General features: G+C 41.0%; 1 protein-coding gene and 1 pseudogene across 15 annotated transcripts in view, besides 2 other annotated features; one reads left to right on the forward strand and one right to left on the reverse strand.

Moving 5' to 3' along the window:
• CD96 (CD96 molecule) overlaps nucleotides 1–23,143 on the forward strand; it is a 123,800-nt gene that overhangs the window by 26,606 nt on the left and 74,051 nt on the right. For 8 of the 15 annotated variants that reach the window (XR_007093316.1, XR_007093335.1, XR_007093326.1 and 5 more), the window contains exons 4-5: nucleotides 10,225–10,432; nucleotides 16,521–16,576. Coding sequence is in view for 5 of the 15 variants with exons in the window: in NM_005816.5 (NP_005807.1) it covers nucleotides 10,225–10,432; nucleotides 16,521–16,576 (264 nt within the window). In the remaining 10 variants the exon portion in view is untranslated. Of the gene's footprint in view, nucleotides 1–8,699; nucleotides 8,748–10,224; nucleotides 10,433–16,520; nucleotides 16,577–23,143 lie in introns of all 15 variants that reach the window. The other 7 variants (XR_007093273.1, XR_924090.2, XR_241462.2 and 4 more) reach the window with 1 other exon arrangement.
• Nucleotides 1,836–2,252, reverse strand: NECTIN2P1 (NECTIN2 pseudogene 1; annotated as a pseudogene).
• Nucleotides 17,767–17,967: a silencer, noted in NCBI's record as "peak4766 fragment used in MPRA reporter construct". NCBI's record gives its function as "represses an SCP1 promoter by STARR-seq MPRAs in K562 erythroleukemia cells {active_cell/tissue: K562}" and the evidence as "EXISTENCE:reporter gene assay evidence [ECO:0000049][PMID:32103011]".
• Nucleotides 18,027–18,227: a silencer, noted in NCBI's record as "peak4767 fragment used in MPRA reporter construct". NCBI's record gives its function as "represses an SCP1 promoter by STARR-seq MPRAs in K562 erythroleukemia cells {active_cell/tissue: K562}" and the evidence as "EXISTENCE:reporter gene assay evidence [ECO:0000049][PMID:32103011]".

Here is a 23,143-nt window from a genome sequence, read left to right on the forward strand (position 1 = left end):
CAACCAAATGGCAGCCAGCTACTAACCAGTGTATACAGTAAACCCCTAAAACTGTTAAAAACAAATGACAACAAAGAGACAAACACAATTATAGAGGTGATCATAAACATGATTTCAAGAATCACATAATAGGGCATTCATTTAGATGATACAGAATATGATTACTGTATGTTAATTTTTATATTTTTGTCAAAATGAAAACAAAGGATTTAAAAATTCTTATGAAACTCACAGATTCTCATGAATGTAACAGCTGGCACAATTTGGAAAATACTGTGATTCAGATGGCTGATTATTCATATTACAAGCTACCTAGATTTTTGTGGACAGTCTTGGAAACTAGACCCTATATATAAAAACATTTCCTTGGGTTTGTGCCAAACCCAAAATAATTGACTTGTACTAAAAACTTTAAATACAACCTACTGATAATTTTTCACTGTCTAGGTATTTTTCAGATAGTAAATAATAAAAAGAATTATATTTTAAAATAACTTTCCCAAATGGTTGTAAAACCTACAGTATCTCTTTGTCATCTGTCACAAAACTCGTCTGCCCTTTTATAGGATTTGCTTTCCAAAAAGTAAGTCTTCCTGGACAGTAGGCCTATCATTAGGATGAGTATAAGTCCATTGTTCTTAATAAACATGATGCAACATAGTTCTGAGAAAAAGGTTAATTAAGTGAGATAATTTCAGGAGGACAGAAATGTACTATACTAAACCTTTTAGTAATGAAATGCATAGCTTGCTTAATATTTTCCACCAACAGAGCAGAAAGTTCCTATCCCAGTTATCTCAAATTCATTAACAATGGCAACTGGTTTAATAAAGCCTTACTGTAGATATTTTTACTGTAGTGTTCTTATCTTGTCTCATGGGTATGTAATCTGTTTTTCTAAGCAAATGTAAAGCCTTCAGTATGTGTCTTTTATGTGAGTCTGAGCTTCTCCTGGACAAAAAGTTGTATCTCTCATTTCTTTTTTTTTCCAAAGTATAAATTCATATTTTGTAGGAAATGTAGTTTACAAAACAGTATCAATCGCTACCCCCAATCCAGATGACCCACTTTCCTCCGAAGGGGGACGTTTAGGTCCTATTCCACTGGGCAAGGGTAAAATGATTCAGTAGTCTTCCAGGTTAACAGTAAATTCTTCTCCCAAGGCTGGGGCCGTCAAGGCACAGTCTGTATGAGGCTCACCCTGTCTGACCCTAGGCTGGGGCTGCTTGCTCGGTAGGCAGGAATTGGGGTGGGGGTGGGGGCTCAGGGAAGGGTCTGCACCCTGAGACTTCTGCTTACAGGAGGGTGCTGGGAAAACCCTGCCTTGGGTTGGGGAATCCCCTCTCTCCCACCTTTGGGGAATAGGGTGGGGAGGGGGTAAGTGGGACCCTGCTGCCTGGAGGGCTCAGGTCTGAGCAGCAGGGAGCCCTTAGTGCCCACTCCAGCAGACCTATTGGGAATTTACTACCTGAAGACAAATTATAGGTCTAGGGTCTTCTTTGTGATTTTGGGGGAGTCGAGGCATTGGGGGGTGAGAGGTATGGTCTAAGGTCACAGTCTGGGAGAGGAGTCCTTGGGATCAAAGGTTGTGCAGAAGCACCTTCCCCACCTCCTGCCTCATGAGATAAGGTTGCCAGGATTCCATTATCATGGTGAATTTCTCTGGGCTCGTGGGTTAGGGGTCACAGTGGAGCCACCAAGGTAGAAATCACAAATGGGACGCATGTGTGTTAACTGACAGTGGCCTGGCCAGACATCAGGGGGCACTAGATCCTTGGCAAGAAAGCTAAGGGATCAACAGGTGAGATGTGAGACACCAGGCGCATGGCAGCTCACACGTACATGGCCCGGGACATGACAAAGCATTTGCCCTGGTAGGAATCAGAGGGGCTGCTGTAGGACAGAGCATCATAGATGGGGTTGATCTTGTCCAGATACTCTTCCTCCTCCTCCCCCTCCTCATCCTCTAGATCCAGGGAAACGTCTTCCAAAGCAGGTGGCCCTGGAGGCACCGGGATGGGGGACCCCAGGCTTGTGGCTCCAGGGTGCAAGGGTCCTGACCGCTCTTCCAAGGTGGGCAGCTCATGGTATCGAGGCATTTCCTGCTCAGTGCATGAGGCGCCAGCGTCAAAGTAGGGGGTCTTGAGTGGGCTGTGCTCTGAGGCCACCAGAGTGAAAAGCTGGGAGGGCATCTCCTGCTCCTCCAGCTTCTCTTTTGGGGTCAGCGGCTTGTAGGAGGGAGGTCCCTCCAGGCTGTGGGGTAGGAGGTAGGTCAAGTGGAGACTAAGACCCGGGCATCCCTCTGAATCCAGGGTTACAGCACATGCTGTTCCCTCTACCTGGGTCCCCCTTTTCCCTGCCCCCTTTTCTTGCCTGGAGTAAGAGTTTTTTTGTTTTGTTTTGGTTTTTGGTTTTTGGTTTTTTTTTTTTATTGCTCATTTCAAAAATCTCCAGCATCTAGTATAGAGTCTAGAGCATAGGTACTCATAAATACTTAATAAATACTTGAATTAATTTATTTCTATTTGTCCCCTTTCCCCACAGTCTTATTCATTGTTCTCATATTAAATTAATGATCACTAAATTCATGCTGTTTGATTGTTTAATGAGTGGCAGCTCATTAAGTATCAAAGACTTGACAACTGATGAGTCACCGTTTATCAAGTAGCTTCCTTTAAAGAAACTAAGAAGGCCATGTAGACATTACCTTTGGATTCTGCCAGGACATTTAGAGTAAATGAATGCCAGAGAGTGCATCTAAGGTCACACAGTGAGAGGGTGAATCTTAAACATCCACTAGAACCTCAAGCCATGCTGCCACTTTAAAGAATGCACCATGATACCAACAACTTGAAGAATCTTTCTAAAGAAACCTTTCTTCAAAGGGAACATGGTGTTGGCAAATGTGCTGATTAAAATCCTATGGTACATTTCCTTTCAAAATGTCAAAATCTATTTGCTCCTCTCATTTACATCTATGCCCCACAATATTGATGGCTGTAGGATTCAGCCAGTCTATTAAACCATCTAATGTCCTTATAAAGTAGATTACATAGGGTGGTTATAGTCTCCCTTAAATGAGAACAAACTTCCTAAATAAGTGGAGGGAACAAACTGCCTGACAGTTCATAAACCACACCCTGGGCTCATGGTTAGAACATCCCACAGCAAGGAAGTAAAGGAACAGAATGGAAAAATCCCCACATTCATGCAAGTGCAGAAACCCATGATTAGTGTCTTTGGGCTGACCTATGCTCATCATAATGGTAAAAAACACACCCATGAGTAGAGATTTAAGATGTTAATGAGACATGCCATGTATCTACCCGCACGTACAACAATAGCACATGCACATCGGGAGGACCACCCCGAACATGCTTAATAGCAACACACCTTCCCAACCCTTCATGAATAATCATATGAGACTCTCATAAAGGGAGTTTCCCTAGTGTCAGTCAGCATCATCTCACCTTTGAGTAGCCCGCTGTGATCAGCGGTGAGTGTACTTTTGCTTTGCAGTAAGCTCTCTTACCTCTTTTCATTTTGAACTTGCTCTCAAATTCTTTTGTGTGGTAAAGTCAAAAACAAACTGGTGCCACTGGCAACACTTATATTAGGGAATAAACTACAACTCTTAGTATCATAATTGTTACATGTCTGCAAAGGACACAAATATTCCAGCCAATCCATATTTTTGGTCTTTAATCTCTTCTTAAACTAAGAATAAGAATCATAAGATAAGCCTATTGTTCTTACAAACATATATAATCTCTTTAGAAAGAGATTACAACATAGAAATGATGAAGGTGAGCTCAGGAGAGCAGAAACTTCCTATACTGAACTCTGGGAAGTTTCAAAGGCCTTCTGCCCCAAGTGACTCATGAAACCCTGGAAACAATTTACAAACTAAAATTATCTAAGTCACTGAAAAACAAAAGTGATGTCTTCCTGTTTGTGGAATTTTATAAAAGCTAATTAATTCAATTATGACCCTCATAGGAAAGGTTATAATTGGGATTCTGTCTCATAAAATAAACTCTTATGCCACATCTGCCTGATCTCATGCCAAGGCTGTGTTAAGTGTGTTAATGGGACAGACTCTGCATTTTGGGAAGTTACATCGCAGGACTGGGAATACACTGAGGTAGACGGGCATCAGGTGCAAATGGACAGTGTATCTAACATTCATCCAGCATGAGGGGTAACTAAGTAAACACAAAGGGTTAACTCTCTAATGGAAACTAATAATCTACGTGAATGGAGGAGTAATATATAAGAAATCCTAGAATATGTGTACTTAGATGGGATGCAGTTGGAAGCTGAAAGATAAGTGGTATTTTTTCCCATCTTATGCATTGGGACATAAGCATATAGTCATGAGGGAAGTTCTGCAGGCTTATTCTGGAAGCTTCTAAATATACTCTAATATTCTGTTTTCATAGCAAACTATCATCCTTGTTTCCCACAGCATGAATTTCAGTTCAGTCCAATAAACATATATGAATCTGTTTTGAGCACTAAGTCCTGCAGGGATACAAAACTATATTGGACATATTTCCTACCATGACATACACCTTTAATAAAAATGTTAAAAACGGCAGCATGGGGAAAATAGTTCAATTCCGACTAGATGAACCTGGGAAAGCTTCTTAGAAAAGGTTATATCTGAGCTGGATAATTAAATAGTTGGCTAGCAAAAGACAGACATATACTACACCAAGACCCTGGGACCTTTAAGTACAAATTGGTAGTGCAGACGGGAAAATGCATAAGAGGGAATATTTGTTCCCAAAGTCAGTGAAAATAAAGAAATTCACGATTTTTCTCTTTAAAATCATGAAGAGAAGGACAAGAATATTTCCAATTCAAACAATTCAATATTAGTGACAAAAGCACATAACTATAGATTCTCATCTATCTTAAAATTTTTATCTATAAATATATCTTCAACATGCTCTTATTTAATATTTGTGCTATTTATGTTAAAAGGTAAGTGGTACTATAGACAATGTTTGTTATGCTTATGGATGCCTCACTATTCAGAAAACAAAACTGTAACCTCTTACCTGATGGCAGCTGATTCTAATTGTCTTTAATAAAAAAATGAAGTGCCAACCAAACTACAAAGTGTTGATAACCAACAGCAATGGTTAGAAATATATTGTTCTGGTGCTCTAGAAAATGGATGTGGGGAGCTTTGCAAGCAGCTTGCTTTGACAGCACTGACTGGATGGAGAATAAATGGAGGAAATGTGAAGATAAGAAACAGTTTGGAGAAAAAAGGAGTAGCAATCAATACAGTTAACAGCAGTTATTGAATGAGCTCTGTACACTCAGCACCTGCCATGTGCTGTGGTCAGTGCAGCCAGCTCTGACATGGAGCTGGTTTCAAGGAGCTCAGGATAGCTCAGAGATGAAATATCATCACTAAATCAAGGAGGTTGAACATCCCAAGTCTGAAAACCTGAAATTCAAAATGCTCCAAAATCTGAAACTTTTTTAGCGCACACATGATGCTCAAAAGAAATGTTCAATGGATCATTTCAGATTTCAGATTTTCAGATTTAAGATGTTCAACTGGCATAATGTAAATAGTCCAAAATCCAAAACATCTGAGCCTGAAACATTTCTGATACCAAGCATTTCAGATAAGGGTTACTCAACCTGTAGTACAAAGATTCCTGTTCTAAATTGAAAATTTTGATTCTAGTTCAAAAACAAAGCCTAAATGACTTATTTTAGGATTTGTCAAGTATTTAAGGGACATATAACAGCAGTTTCATGATTCAATAAGATCCCTTTCAGCAGTTATCATGCTAATTATTTTATCAAGCTCCTATACATAATTTAATTATGCATTTGTTTCTTTTCTGTGGCTCCTGATTTTCATATTTGTTTGTGTGTACATGTTTGTTCTTCTCCTTAAGTATATTTTTAGTGCAAAAAATCTATTTAAAAATTATATTTAAAAATATGAATTTTTAGATTTTTTTTTTTTGAGGCAGTGTCTCACTTTGCTGCCCAGGCCGGAGTGCAGTGACATAATCTTGGCTCACTGCAGCCTTGACCTCCCCAGGCTCAGGTGATCCTCCCACCTCAGCCTCCCAAGGAACTGGGACCACAGGCATGTGCCACCATACCCAGCTAACTTTTTTTTTTTTTTGTATTTTTAGTAAAGACAGGGTTTCACCATGTTTCCCAGGCTGGTCTTGAACTCCTGGGCTCAAGAAATCCACCAGCCTTGGCCTCCCAAAGTGCTGGAATTACAGGCATGAGCCACCAAATCCAGCCCTTAAGTAGATTATAAGTAGGAAAGGCTAAGACTGTTTCTTTTACTACTTTTGTGAGACTGTATATAGCAAAGTCATTAACAGTGTGATATTTGGAGGGAAATTGCTGTTTTCAAGACCTGGATCTCCACTACTTACTGGCTATGAGACCTAAGGGCTGGGATTAGAGTGAAGCAAGGAAGGCCATTAACCTTGGAAGCAAAATTTAAAGGAGCACAAAAAGTTAGTGATCAAGATAAATATTTTAATACAACATTTTTAAAAATCAGAAGTTAGGGAAAATCCATGGTGAACAAAACATCAAATTTGTAAATAAAGGCAGACTGTTGCTTGTGTGTTTTTCAGACCTTGCTACATTTATATTGTTTAAGGAACAGTATTTTCCAATCAACTTGTTGTTCATGGCCATTGTGTCCCCCAAGGGCCAACCCTTACGGGTTGACATTGGCAAGAGAGCAGATTGAGCTATTCATGGCTTTATAACTGTCTTAATCTATTTTGTGCTGCTACATGTAACAGAATATCTGAAACTAAGAAATTTATAAACAGAACATTTATTCTCTCAAGTTCTGGAGGCTGGGAAGTCCAAAATCAAGGTGCCAGCAAGTTAGAGCCTGGTCTCTGTGCTTCCAAGATGGCACCTTGAATGCTATGTTCTCCAGAGAGGACAAAAATCTTTGTCCTCACATGGCAGAAGAGCAGAAGAGAGAGAACTCACTACTACAAGCACTTTGTAGAGTGGCATTAATCTATTTATGAGGGCAGAGCCCTTTGGATCTCCCATTAGGCTTCACCTCCCAACACTATGCCATTGGGGATTAAGTTTCAATATGAGTTTTGGAAGGGACAAAAACATTCAAACCATAGCAATGAATCTCCATAATTCCTCAGTTTAGCCAGGCACATAGTGAATACTCATGAGATAGCAGGTTGATCATAGGCTGGACTAGATAATAATAAGCTTGTATTATTGAACATCTATTAAGTGTCAGGACTAGAGTAAGTATATCATATATGTTACCTCATTAAATCTATATTTCCCATTAAAATGTGGGAGTCTACCAAGGTGTGAATCCATAAAGTTTTAGAAATACTTATTAATATTTTTTAAAGTGGACAATTTTTTTCTTTGAAGAACAGGAAAAGAAAAAACTGGTAGAAATAAGGCTGTCACATACAGGTTCTTGCCTCTATCTGTCTGTTTCCTGAAGACTAGGTTAGCTAAGAGCATTATTATCAAGTAGGAGTTGAGGTGTGCTCTAAACACCTATCATCAAAAGTGGGCCAATATGTCATACAAAGGCCCCTTTCAATCAACAAATTGCCCTCACCCCTGTAATCTACAACTCACATGAAAGGTTCTAGCTTTCTAAAATTTCTATTAAATTTCTCACTGTAGATACTTCAGAAAGGTTTTTTATTTATTATTATTTTATAGTTTGGTTCTTATTAGTACAAATTGTATCTGAGACTTATTTGTCCCCGGTTCTGGGCCTCCTTGCTTTTTGATGCTGTGACTTAAATAACTCTTACTTTGTGTGATCTTTGATCAAATTTTTAACCTCAATTTATTCTACATAGTTGTAAGAAGTAAATAAGACTTGAAAGGACTTTGCAGAATTCTTAGAATATAGTAGGTGCTAAATAAATTTAAACTATGACTAATAAGATTATGAAAGTTTAATAATGGTCATAACATAATACTAGTATTATTTCTCCCTCTCCCAGTCCTAGGCATTTCGTTGTTTGCCTGTGCTAATTTTTTCACCTCTCCTCCCATTTGCTCTGTGAAGGCAGCCACTCATATGTAAGTTCTTGCTACTGCCCCCTTTATAACTGAAGACTCTAGAATGTCTTAGGATCTCCTTATATTGTAGGTTACGGGGCATTCTTTGCAACTGAATCCCATCTTTCCTAATGAAGGAACAAACCCTTCTTTCTGCAAAAGTCAACTGCCCAGGGGAAAAAAGCAACCTTTGGATAAGTTGGAAGGTTTTGTATTTTTTCTCTATCAACTAAACCACCTAGTCACAATCTGCTATATAATAAAGAAAAAAGCAGTTTTTCTCACCAGTCTCCAACTTCAGCATGTAACTGCTCTTTTTCCCACAACAAAGTGACAGTTGATGGAACTGTTCCAAATGGCATTCATATACTAAATGACCAAGGAGCATTTTCAACTCTAAAATCCTGACACACAAAAAAGCAAGAGGCTGCCAAACGTACCTGTGCCAAAAGATCTGCAGGGGGTACCTGCCTTCTTAATTATTGACCTCCAGACTTGCCAGTGCTGAGTGACATGCTCTCCACTTTCTTCTCCTGTCCCCACCCAATACTTAGAGCTCCTCTGGGGGATCCTATCTCTGTAATACAGTCTTTCTCCCTTCTTCTTTTGCTCTTCTTCCTTAGGAAAACAGCAGCACGGATTCTTGGGTCCTTCTTTCTAAGGGTATAAAGGTATGTAAATTGCTGCAGGAAAAAGAATTCAGCAGAGTATGATTATTTGCAGGCAATAACACAATACTATCTGTATGTAAGACTGACACAAATCCTAGCCAGATTCAGCTAAAGAACGGTGTCTTACATAAGAGTTTCTACTAAGTATATTCTGGAATTTTCTATTTAAACTATTTAAGAAGTCTACCTTAGTCCATCCTCTGTTTCTGCCCATACTTGAATGTGGTTTCCATTTCTTGTAGCCTGATCTGTCTCATTTTTAAAACTAGAGATTCCAATTCATAGATCTTATCATTATTTTGTAACATTTCCCCCATTGAATGCACTCCTGTTTACCCTTCTCCATTTTACTTCCCTCCATTTCCCCTGATGACTGTACACAAGGATTCATCTGTTGTTTAGAGTTAGGCCAGTAGATGTCAGCCCTGGATCTCCTGAGTACCTTAAAAGCAATTGTCCTAGCTATGGCCTTATCCCAGACAGACTGAATTAGAATCTCTAGAAGACAAGCTTGTGCATCAGAGTGTTTTAAAAGCAGCTCAACTGAGAATGTTGAGTCATACTAACAGGATATGAAGACCTAACCCATCCTCTACCCTTGTGCCCGTCAAGAATCCCCTCCTTACTGGGCCCCTAGTGAGCACTTTTATTGACATCAACCAACACTGTGACACCCCAGGGAGTTTGTCCAAAAAAATTCCAGGCACAGAGAGAATAATAGGGCTTTTCATCACAGACCGAAGAAAGGATACGGGATAGAAGAACCAAGTACCTCAAATATACTCTGATCTCCAAAATTCAGATTAACATTTTCAGGCTACTCTTCATGCATCCTCTTTGAAGCTAACACAAACACAGAAGAAAGGGAATAAGGTTAGGACCAGAACAAGGCTGTGAAATGAGGCAAGGAGCTGCCCCAGGGCACAAAATTTAAGGAGGTACTCACTGTTGGGTGTCAACATTTCACTTGCAAGACTTTGAGAATGCCACTTTACCTGATCCTAGTCCAGGCTCGGGGAGGAGCTGACAAAGAGTCATTTTCTAAAGGAATTTAGGGATAGCTGTAATCATCCAGTTTAAATGAAGATTTTATGAAATCTTCACACTGATACAGTCTTCTCATCTTAGCAGTAAGATGTCAGAACTTCTTAAATAAAAATTAAAATCTGCCATTAGTCCTGCCCATTCCAAACCCCAAATCCTGCTCCAGATATACAGTTCATAGAAGATTATGAAGGAGAAGCTCTAGTCAGAAGAACAGAATGCTTCCATTTGTTAGGAGAGGGTAACAATAGTTTTTAACTGAAAGTCAAGTGTATCATACTTTCTCTAGTAATATACTAAATGTCTTCTAATTTCAATCCTTCATTCTTCCTCTCTACTTTACAAAAAGTAAATGAATCAGTGCTTGTCGAATGCCTAGTTCAGAGCTGGCACAGTTGAGGACTCAATAACTGGTAACAATTTTTCTCACCAGGAGGATAATGGAACTCAGGAAACACTTATCTCCCAAAATCACCTCATCAGCAATTCCACATTACTTAAAGATAGAGTCAAGCTTGGTACAGACTACAGACTCCACCTCTCTCCAGTCCAAATCTTCGATGATGGGCGGAAGTTCTCTTGCCACATTAGAGTCGGTCCTAACAAAATCTTGAGGAGCTCCACCACAGTCAAGGTTTTTGGTAAGGGCTTTTGTTCTACAGACTCACTGGCATCCTCCTGTCTCCTGCCCTGCTCTTCCTTGAAGAGGAAGCACCCTATTATGCTGCAGAGCAGCCACATGTGGGTAACAGTGCTGGAGTCTGTTTCCCTGGATACTTGTCATTCTTGTTGGGCAGGGGGATGAGGGTAGGATGCTAAAGAATGATGATTCTGTTAACAGAATAAAATCATACAGAAGCCAATAATTTTCTGTATTGGTCAGTTTTCTGTTGCTTACAATGAAATACCTGAAACTGAGTAATTTGTAAAGAAAAGGAATTTATTACTTACAGTTATGGAGGCTAAGTCCAAGGTCGAGGGGACGCATCTGGTAAGAGCCTTCTTGCGGATGGGGACTCTCTGAAGAATCCCAAGGTGGCACACGGTATCACATGGCGAGGGGACAGAGTTTGCTAATGTGCTAACTCAGGTCTCTCTTCCTCTTCTTATAAGGCCACCAGTTTCCCTCCCATTATAACTCATGACTCCAGTAACCCATTAATCCATGAATGGATTAATCTTATTCATAAGGGCAGAGACCTCATGATTCAATCACCTCTGAAAGGCCCCAGCTCTCAATACTGCCACACTGGAGATTAAGTTTCAATATGAATTTTGGAGTGGACATTCAAACCATAACAGACAGAACAATTTCCTGGTGACCACTATCTTATTTACAATGTTAATATTTCTCAGAATACTGGAAATCTCTTTAATTGTAACTGCCAAAATCTAATTGTTTAGTTGTCTAATTGTCTTAGTTGCTTGCTTGAGCAAGGTGGAGTAAAGTCAGTGAGAAAAGGAAGGTGATAAATATAGCCCCAGAGAAACTGCAGAAGTTCCTCCTCCCCTGCTATCCTGCCAAGGCCCAGCTGGGGTGAGACCATCCAGGTCCAGCCCTTCCAGCAAAGGAGCCTTTAGGAAAGGCCCTCTGAACCTGCACTCTCAGGAGTGTGGAGCTGAGCTGTGAAATCCACTGTGGCCTCACTCAAAATGCAGACTATCTGCAGCGTGCCAATTTAAGGAGGAAAGGTTAAAATTCTATTTTCCCCAGTGGTACAAGGAAGTACCACTAATTAATAAACACCATTAATGAAGGGAAGCCTCTGCCTTTGGATGTTTTTTTCATTTTTTGTGACAAAGATCTGTGTTTTTTAGAAAGTCAATTTTAAAGAAGGCAAAGAGAAAAGCAGTGAGGTGGATAGACAATTAATTATTTTTGAAAATGAGATAAACAAAGAGAAAATAACTTCACAAACCTATGGACACAGGCTGCTAGATTGTTCCTCAATTCTCTAAAGGGCAGAGCAAGCAAAAAAAAATTATTTGGAATTGTATTGCCCTATTATTGGCAGTCATACAATTTAGTATTTTGAAGAAAACACAAAATTGCCTCCCCCTTCCCTCCTCTGTCCTCCCCTTCCCTCTGCATCCTCCCCCTTCTCTTTCTCTTCATCTCTCCTCAGGGATGGACTAGGCAATAATCATCCCTGATGATCAGGTTCCTTACGGAGCCTAAACAGTGTCCTGTGAAGAGTTGGAAACAAGCTGTTCATCTCTTTTGCTATCACCATTTGTTTATTTACCAGGCTGTGACTGTCTTAGTGCAAACATGAAACTGCTTCATCTGGTCTATTGTCAAACCAATGAAGGCAGCCATCCTCAATGTAGAAAGAAATATCAATTTTAATCTAGGCAAGCTGTGTCCCCTATTGATCAAGACTTTTTGCATCATAACTTGATCTAATTGCCTTGTCAACATTTATGCTGTGTCCTGTATCTCTTTGCTGCATTAAAACACCTCTATCTTGATCTTAAATGTTTTTCAGCCTTCTATATCTCATTTTTATCACCCTATTGGATTCTACAGCTCTTTGTCTCTACATTTCTCTTGTTTCTTCTTTGAAGTCCTTTCGGTGGATGCTTAAAAATATGAAACCCTGCCTGCTTGTTCAGAAAATTAGATTTTTCGTGCTTCCTGGTTTTTGCATTTAGTAAATTGGCTGGGCGGGTTGTGTTTGGGTGGAGTCTCATCCAGTCCTTAACCTATTTTGAGGTGTTACCCAAGTATATATTGTGGCCCTGACCACATATCTTATAAGAACCTACTTTACATCCCTTGGTGATTCCTCATATAGAATAAGTCTCCCCAAAACACCCATGAAAACCTTGAAATCAATACCCAAATATATATCAGATCTATTCCACATGCCCTAAACCCAGCATATTTCTTCTTCCCAAACAATGTCCATTGCTCAACTCTTCATTGTCTAACAGACCAGGGACAAGAGGGGCTACTCCAGCAATTTTGCCACTTCCTGCATCTCCTTCACTGGTCTCCTTTGGTTTTCCTTTCCTTGGCAGGGAGTCACCTGCCCATCACAGGGTTCTGTTCCACTCCTAAATTCCAAATCTGATTGTCCTCAACCTCAAAGAAAATCTGTCTCACCCTGTCACCTCTGCAATTTTTAGTAGTTGTTCTTTCTTTCAGGGCTTTTATTCTGCTGGTATTTGTTAACAGGAGGTAAGAGATACCTCTCCATCCATTAGTGTTTCAGGTTGTATCTTGGTTTTGGGTTCCCCTGAAATAAAACATCGAGATAAGGATTGCGGTTAATTTATTTGAAAGGCCATCCTGGGAAACATCAGAAAAGGAGTGAGAAAGTGAGTCAGGGAAGGGAAGGAAGATAAGAAAATGTACAAGATTATATCAGTTAGCACCATAGGTTTAGAGCTCATCTTACTGGGAGACAGCATAGAACACACATCAGAGTTATCCCACATGAAGGGCAAGAAAGCTGGGGTATTCATCTACCATCTCTCCATCTGTATCACTATTAACTCTCTGGGACTCCCAGTTTTTACTACTTGTGGACTAAGTATACTCCCATAATCTCAATAAATCATTATGCAAAGAGTCATCTAGTCATCAAAGAGTTATCCCAGTAAGAGATCTTCAGTATGCCAAGGTAAATGGCTAGTGGCTGTAGCAGGCACTGACAGCATCTGTGACTGGAGGTTTAGCATTCTTTCCACTGAGTCATAGAAGGCTGTGTTTGCTATGCTCAAGAATTTACTTGAAGCCACTTCTGTTCAACACGATGTACTTAATGTCTAGTTTGTGCTGGGCAGTTAAGTGCTAGAGATGAAGAAATTGATAAAATACTGGCTCAGAGGCACTTAAAATCTAGTAAAACAACAAAATCACTGAAATATTCCCTGATATTTCCTAGTGCCAAGCAACCAAACAAGAATCAAATGTTTCTCTGCTCCACTTCAGGGACCTTTATAATGAGACTTTATTTCTAAGCTGCATTAGTTCATTTTCATGCTGCTGATAAAGACATACCCAAAACTGGGAAGAAAAAGAGATTTAGTTGGACTTAAAGTTCCACATGGCTGGGGAGGCCTCAGAATCATGGCAGGAGGTGAAAGGCACTTCTTACATGGCAGCAGCAACAGAAAAATGAGGAAAATCAAAAGCATAAATGCCTGATAAACCCATTAGATCTCATGAGACTTATTCACTATAGCATGGTAAAGACCAGCCCTCATGATTCAATTGCCTCCCACCAGGTCCCTTCTGGGAGACACAATTCAAGTTGAGATTTGGGTGGGGACACAGCCAAACCATATAATTTCACCCATGGCCTGTCCCAAATCTCATGTCCTCACATTTCAAAATCAATCATGCCTTCCCAACAGTCCCCCATATTCTCAACCCATTTCAGCATTAACCCAAAAGTCCAAGTCCAAAGTCCCATCTGAGACAAGGCAAGTCCCTTCTGCCTATGAGCCTGTAAAATCAAACGCAAGTTAGTTACTTTCTAGATATAATGGGGGTATAAGCATTCAGTAAATACAACCATTCTAAATGGGAGAAATTGGCCAAAACAAAGGGGCTGCAGGCCCCATGCAAGTCCAAAATCCAAAAGGGCAGTCAAATCTTAAAGTTCCAAAATGATCTCCTTTGACTCTATGTCTTGCATCTGGGTCACACAGATGCAAGAGGTAGGTTCCCATGTTCTTAGGCAGTTCTGTCCCTGTGGCTTTACAGGGTACAGCCTCCCTCCTGGCTGCTTTCACAGGCTAGTGTTGAGTGTCTGCAGCTTTTTCAGGAGCACAGTGCAATCTGTTGGTGGATCTACCATTCTGGGGTCTGGAGGATGGTGGCCCTCTTCTCACAGCTCCACTAGTCAGTGCCCCATTAGGGACTCTGTGTGGGGGCTCCAACCCCACATTTCCCTTCTGCACTGCCCAAGCAGAGGTTCTTCATGAGGGCCCCGCCCTTGCAGCAAACTTTTGCTGGGTATTCAGACATTTCCATAAATCTTCTGAAATCTAGGTAGATGTTCCCAAACCTCAGTTCTTGACTTCTCTGCACGCACAGGCTCAACACCATGTGGAAGCTGCCAAGGCTTGGGGATTCCACACTTTTAGAAGCAATGGCCCAAGCTGCACGTTGGCCCCTTTCAGCCATAGCTGGAATGGCTGGGACACAGGGCACCAAGTCCCGAGGCTGCACACAGCAAGGGGACCCTGGGCCCAGCCCAGGAAACCACTTTTTCCTCCTGGGCCTCTGGACCTGTGATGGGAGGGGCTGCTGTGAAGGTCTCTGATGTGGCCTGGGGACATTTTCCCCATGGTCTTGTAGATTAACATTAGGCTCCTTCCTACTTATGCAAATTTCGGCAGCCAGCTTGAATTTCTCCCTAGAAAATGGGTTTCTCTTTTCTATTGCATAGTCAGGCTGCAAATTTTCCAAACTTTCATGCTCTGCTTCCCTTATAAAACTGAGTGCCTTTAACAGCACCCAATACACCTCTCGAATGCTTTGCTGCTTAGAAATTTCTCCTGCCAGACACCCTAAATCATCTCTTGTAAGTCCAAAGTTCCACAAATCTCTAGGGCATAGGCAAAATGCTGCCAGTCTCTTTGCTAAAACATAACAAGAGTCACCTTTGCTCCAGTTCCCAACAAGTTCCTCATCTCTATCTGAGACCACTTCAGCCTCAACCTTATTGTTCATATCACCATCAGCATTTTTGTCAAAGTGATTCAACAAATCTCTAGGAGGTTCCAAACTTTACAACATTTTCTCGTCTTCTTCTGAGCCCTCCAAACTGTTTCATCCTCTGCCTGTTACCCAGTTCCAAAGTTGCATCCACATTTTTGGGTATATTTTCAGCAACACTCGACTGTACTGGTACTAATTTATTGTATTAGTCTGTTTTCACACTGCTGATAAAGACATACCCAAGACTGGGAAGAAAAAGAAGTTTAATTGGACTTACAGTTCCACATGGCTGGGGAGGCCTCAGAATCATGGTGCGTGGTGAAAGGTACTTCTTACACAGCAATGGGAAGAGAAAAATGGGGAGAAGCAAAGGCGGGAATCCCTGATAGACCCACCAGATCTCATGAAACTTATTCACTATCATGAGAATAGCATGGGAAAGACCAGCCCCCGTGATTCAATTACCTCTCGCTGGGTCTCTTCCACAACACATGGGAATTCTGGGAGATACAATTCAAGTTGAGATTTGAGTGAGGACAGAGCCAAACCATATCATAAGCCTTTGGACATGTAGAACATTGCTCTTTTCTCTCCCTCCCCACCACCCATCCTCCGCTTGCACTACCAGTCTTCCACATTCCCAATTTTACTTGACTCATCACTGATAACCACATCACATCTTCCAAAAGCCTCCTCCTATCCTCCAAGGTTAGGTTAGAAAATTTATTTAAAAGCTGTCTTCAAATCCTACATGTCCTTAATCATTGCACTTATCTCAGTGTATTGTAACTTCCAGTTTGTTTATCTGTATTCCCATGAAACTGTAGATTTCTTAAGAACAGTGAATATTATTTGTCCACATTTGTTTCCTAAGCATCTAGCATACTGCCAGGTACACAGTGGGCCTGGCAGTATTATATTAATAAATATTAATTTATAAATATTAATATTTAATGAATGAAGATGCTTATAGACACACACACACATACACACACTAGTGGCCAGGTAGGATGACATTTGGTGCCACTAACTATGTTTTATTTGCCTTTAAGCTAAACCAGAAATCCCTGTGATTGTGGAAAATAACTCCACGGATGTCTTGGTAGAGGTGAGTCACATAAAAGCCTTTGAAAATCTACAGTATTACATGTAAGGTGTGTCAGGTTGCATAGTTGCCAGGAATGTTCTCTCAAAGAACTTTACTCCTTGGCCCTTGACCAATTAACTGCTAATAGGGATGAAGGGAAGCTGGGTTGTTTCTAGAAAGTGAATGGGAATTTTTACTTTTAGACTTAGGGCTCTCAGAATGTTTGATGTGCACTTTTAGTCCTTAAATTTCTCAGAAAAAAAAATAGTCACAATTTGTTTAAACTTCTCTTTTATAAAAATTCAGGTGGATAGTGAGGACAAAGTAGGGCAGAAAGCAGTGTGAGCCCTGGTGTAAGAAGGAGGCTTTTGCTCAGCTGACGTTTAATTTGTTCTAATCCATTTCCTTTACCCACTTTCCCATTGTTTTTATTTCAAAGTGACAGGAGGAGATATGCCCTCCTGTACTCCTGCAGAACCCTGGGTATGTCTTTGGTAGTAATGAAGAAGGGCAGGAGAAAAAAGAAAATTGAATAGGGACCTCTGACTTAACTTCTTCTGGGTGGTAGTTACCAGCCTGTAGTCACTAGGATCTGGACTCAATTTCTCGCTCTTTCTCTTGCGAGCTGTGACCTTGGGCAAATTACTTCATGTCTTTGCAGTCAGTTTCCCCATCTATATGAAGTGAATAATAATAGTATCTTCACATTGTTGCTGTTTTTAAAAATTAAATAACATATGAAAAAATCTAAGTACAGTGTGTGACATATATTAAGTGTTTAATAAACATTATTGTTCTTGTTTTTGTTATTATTATTATCTGTGTTAATCAACTGTCTTGTGGCCTTATGACTTTAGCCAAGCTTTTAAAAACCCTAAGTAAAAAATATACTCATTAATTCTCTAACATTTTCTATTACATGGGGCGAGAGAAAATTATATTCATTCTAGTTTCTTCTCGCACCAATAACATTAAATAACTTACAATCTCTGGTCTTACTGAATATTAGTCATTTAATTTGATAATTGCATACAAATCATAGCTTAGATTGTTTGAGATGGTTTTGCATAACTTGGAAAAATATCTTCCAAGTAGTTGTGTCTTTTGCCAGTTTCATATATTAGTCTCTTAGGTAACTGCTTGTATTAGTCCATTTTCATGCTGCCAGTAAAGACACACCCAAGACTGGGTAATTTATACAGGGAAAAGAGTTTAATTGGACTTACAGTTGCACATAGCTGGGGAAGCCTGACAATCATGGCGGAAGGCAAGAAGGAGCACATCATGTCTTACATGGATGGCAGAGGGCAAAAAGACAATGTGCAGGAAAACTCCCCCTTATAATAACCATCAGATCTCATGAGACTTACTCACTATCATGATAACAGCACAGGAAAGTCCCCATGCTTCAATTACCTCCCACCAGGTCCCTCCCACAACACGTGGGAATTCGAGATTAGATTTGGGTGGTGACACAGCCAAACCATATCATTCCACCTCTGACCTCTCCCAAATCTCATGTCCTCACATTTCAAAACCAATCATTCCTTTCCAACAGTCCCCCAAAGTCTTAACTCATTGCAGCATTAACTCAAAAGTCCAGAGTCCAAAGTCTCATCTGAGATAAGGCAAGTCCCTTCTGCCTATGAACCTGTAAAATCAAAAGCATGTTAGTTACATCCTAGATACAATGGAGTACAGGTATTGGATAAATACAGCCATTCCAAATGGAAGACATTGGCCAAAACAAGTCTGAAATCCAGCAGGGCAGTCAAATCTTAAGGCTCCAAAATGATCTCCTTTGACTCCAAGACTCATATCCAGGTCATACAGATGCAAGAGGTGGGTTCCCATAGTCTTAGGCAGCTCCACCCCTGTGGCTTTGCAGGGTATAACTCCCCTCCTGGCTGTTTTCACAGGCTGGCATTGAGTGTCTGCAGCTTTTCCAGGCACACAGTGCAAGCTGTTGGTGGATCTACCATTCTGTGGTCTGAAGGATGGTAGTCCTCTTCTCACATCTCTGCTAGGTGGTGTCCCATTAGGGACACAAGCTCTGCCAGTGTGGCTTTGCAGGATACAGCCTCCCTCCTGGCTGCTTTCATGGTCTGATGATGAGTTTCTGCAGCTTTTCCAGGCACACAGTGCAAGCTGTCACGGATCTACCATTCTGGGATCTGAAGAATGGTGGTCCTCTTCTCACAGCTCCACTAGGCAGTAGCATAGTGGGGACTACTTGTGGGGCCTCCAACCCCACATCTTCCTTTTGCACTGCCCTAGGTGGGGTTCTCCATGAGGGCCCCGCCTGCAGCAAACTTTTGCCTGGGCATCCAGGCATTCCCATACATCTTCTGAAATGTAGGCAGAGGTTCCCAAACCTCAATTCTTGACTTCTGTGCACCTACAGGCTGAACACCACGTGGAAGCTTCCAAGGCTTGGGACTTCCACCCTCTGAAGCAGCAGCCCAAGCTGTACCCTTGGCCCCTTTCAGTTATGGCTGGAGTGGCTAGGACACAGGGCACCAAGTCCCAAGACTGCGCACAGCATGGAGACCTGGGGCATCACCCACAAATCCATTTTTTCCTCCTAAACCTCTGGGCCTCTGAAGGAGGGGCTGCTGCAAAAGTCTCCAACATGCCCTGGAAACATTTTCCCCATTGCCTTGATGATTAACATTCAGCTCCTTGTTACTTATGCAAATTTCTGCAGCCAGCTTGATTTTCTCTCCAGAAAATGGGATTTTCTTTTCTATCACATTGTCAGGCTACAAATTTTCCAAACTTTTATTCTCTGTTTATCTTTTGAAACTGAATGCCTTTAACAGCACCCAAGTTACCTCTTGCATGCTTTGCTGCTTAGAAATTTTTTCTGCCAGATATCCTAAATCATCTATCTTAAGTTCAAAGTTCCACAGATCTCTAGGGTAGGGGCAAAATGCCACCAGTCTCTTAACTAAAACATAACAAGAGTCATCTTTGCTCCAGTTCCCAACAAGTTCCTCATCTCCATCTGAGACAACCTCGGCCTGGACCTTATTGTTCATATTACTATTGGCATTTTTGTTAAAGCCATTCAGCAAGTCTCTAGGAAGTTCCAAACTTTCCCATATTTTCCTGTCTTCTTCTGAACCCACCAAACTGTTCCAACCTCTGCCTGTTACCCAGTTCCAAAGTTGCATCCACATTTTTGGTTATTTTTTCAGCAGTGCCCACTCTTCTGATACCAATTTACTGTATTAGTCCATTTTCATACTACTGATAAAGACATACCCAAGACTGGGTAATTTATACAGGAAAAAGGTTATAATAACCATCAGATCTCATGAGACTTACTCACTGTCACAAAAACAGCATGGGAAAGACCTGCCCCCATGATTCAGTTACCTCTCACTGGGAGTTCAAGATGAGATTTGGATGAGGACACAGCCAAACCATATCACTGCTATTATAATCCTGATTATACAGCAAAAGATTTAATCATTTTTGCTGTGTTGTAACTTAATTTCTAAGTGTATTAGTGAACTTCATTTCAATAGTTTACATTTCAAAAATAAGCTAATCATACAGCTTTTGGTAGGTGTTTTTGTTTCTTTTTTTTTCTTTTTTTTTTTTTTTGAGATGAGTCTCACTCTGTCACCCAGGCTGGAGTCCAGTGCCGCGATCTCTGCTCACTGCAAGCTCCGCCTCCTGGGTTCACGCTATTCTCCTGCCTCAGCCTCCTGAGTAGCTGGGATTACAGGCGCCTGCCACCATGCCTGGCTAATTTTTTGTATTTTTAGTAGAGATGGGGTTTCACCGTGTTAGCCAGGGTGGTCTCAATGCCCTGACCTCGTGATCCGCCCGCCTCGGCCTCCCAGAGTGCTGGGATTACAGGCATGAGCCACCATGCCCGGCCTGTTTTTGTTTTTTATAAGGATCTCTAATAGATTCTTGGTGCCAGTGTTTACAGGTAATATGGGCTCAATCCAGATATAGGACCATAAATTGGATCCAAGAATCCCAGTTTTAAAATAAAACAAAAAACTTTACCTAATGTGCCATAAAATTTCCTCTTCTCTACCCTTGCTTTAGTGCTAACTAAGAAAACCAGAGAATTTTCCTTCCTAGAGAATTAGTGAGTAATCTTTCTCCAATCACACATAACCAGCTACAGGACATGGCTTGTCTATGGATCTTTTCAGATCTTGCCAAACATTAGTAACTCCTCACTCTAATATTCTTACAATCCCTGCTGTATTTTTAATAATTTATTAACTCTTCAAAGTCCTTTCACATACTTTTATCTTGTGCTGCTCCCAGTGAGCCTCTGAAATAGATAGGGCATCTGTCATTTTACAGATGAAAAATTGGGGCCTGGAAAGTCTTAACAACTGGCTGAGTCACTAATAAGGGGCAGAGCTGGGATGCATATTTAGTGTGCCTGTATCCAGGCAGAATAGTATTATTATGATGGAAGGATATCATGCTTCAGGGTCAGATAGCACAAGTGTCAAATTCTAATTCAACTACTTAGCTGGTTACATACCCTCATCAATTAATTAACCTCCACGAGCCTCAGCTAACTCATATCTAAAACTGGAATAATAACAAATACTTCAGAGGGTTCTTAGGAAGGTTAAATTTATGCTCTAATGGAGTTCATGGCACATAGTATACATTTCAGGAATATTTCTTCCCTACCCACTATTTATCATTTACCCACTCTCTTACGTTCATAAATCAGCTATGTGACTGATTCTAGCAGATACTGTGGAATAATTTTTTTTAACCCAGAATACAGACTGTGGGATCTGATAGAACTAGGTTTGAATTCTCTTCCAGCACTTATTAACTCTGGCCCCTAAGAGCTCAGTTCCTTAACTTCCTCAAAAGTAAATGAGGGCAATGGCTCCAACTTCACAAGGGTGATGTTAAGGATCAAGTAAGAGAATGTATGCAAAATACCTACCATCCAGCAACCACAGGTTTTTGGTGTTGGCAATTTCCTGCCCCTCCTTCATTCCTTAGAAATTCTTGAAGTCAACATGCACACACTGTCTCTGCTACCTGTTCACTACACTAGCAGCCCGCAGTGTGGAAATACTCTGGGGACTTGGTCAGTTGTGAGCTGTGTCTTCCTGTGTTATTAGTTAAACTTACAAAGTTTATGGCTAATTTTAGTATTTCTGTAAAATACAAGACCCAAAAGCATGATGCCCCTCAGGCATGGACATGCCGTAGATGTCTAAAGAGAGTGTCACACCTGTGAATGTTGTATCTTATGCATTCCCAAAGTCAAGATTTTGCCAGGGCTCCAACTTGACACACAGCTTCACTCCTGCACTACAATGAGAAAAGAGTCTTTAACCTAAATTTCAGGGCCCCTCCATGTGGCAGGTTTTTGTATTAGAGCAAAAGATATCAAGCCAAAGAGCCCCTCAACTCACAGCTAATGATGTAGCATAAGAAGGCACAAGAGGGATGCATAAAAGCTCCAGAGTGTACTCAGCAGTTCAGACTTTCCACAAGCCTCATACGTCTCTCACTCTTATGCTTGTGCTTTATACTTTAGCCCCGTCATCTCCATGGGTCTTGTTCATATCACTCGCTACCTTTGTTATGTTTGAAATAAATTAGGAAAAAAAATCTAAAGAAAATTATCTGTCATGAAACATAGGAAACAAAAGCAGTTTGGGGTTAAGTTGCCTACAAAGGAAGAGAGGCTACAATATTAATAACCATGTAAAACAGATACCAGAGGCCAGAAGCAGTGGCTCACGCCTGTAATCCCAACACTTTGGGAGGCCGAGGTGCGCGGATCATGAGGTCAAGAGATCCAGACCATCCTGGCCAACGTGGTGAAACCTTGTCTGTGCTAAAAATACAAAAATTAGCTGGGCGTGGTGGCACGCACCTGTAGTCCCAGCTACTCAGGAGGCTTAGGCAGAAGAATTGCTTGAACCCAGGAGGCGGAGGTTGCAGTGAGCCAAGATCGCGCCACTGCACTCCTGCCTGGCAAGAGAGTGAGACTCCATCTTAAAAAAAAAAAAAAAAAAAAAAAAGACACCAGAACCTAAATACCACACTGGTTGGCATCAGCAGAGCTCCAGCATCTTTGTGCAGAATTTGATTATTTGTGTTTATTTGGTTTGGGTTTTGCAAAGCTTGAACCCTGTGGTTTCCTCAAGCTTCCTAAGCCCCACTCCAAAAATATGTGTTTTGGTTTTCATTTTTTAAATAATTAGGTATTACAGCCTCCTTTTTTTTCCTAGCATCTTTTGCAACATAATAAGGTTCTGAGTCCAAATGTCCAGCCGTCGTCACTTGCACTGGTGAGCACCTGAGCTTGCACCACAGGTAGAGAAGGTTCTAAAAGGGCATCATACCTCTGTGGGGAGACCACATGACAAATGAAATCTTTAATATCAGGCAGATCTCTAGATAAAAAAAGAACATGACGGGACTTCAGTGTGGCCTGGTTATTTCACAAGCCTGGTGCCTGGACTTTTGTTTGTTCTACAAACAGCTGTTAGGGAAGACAGGTCTAGAAGTGAGGGCTGCCTAGCAAGTCTAGGAAGAATATGAGTGAACTACATAGGTCAGGGCCAAAGG

Source organism: Homo sapiens, chromosome 3, assembly GCF_000001405.40.
Source record: "Homo sapiens chromosome 3, GRCh38.p14 Primary Assembly".
In the NCBI taxonomy this organism is placed as follows: Eukaryota; Metazoa; Chordata; class Mammalia; order Primates; family Hominidae; genus Homo; species Homo sapiens.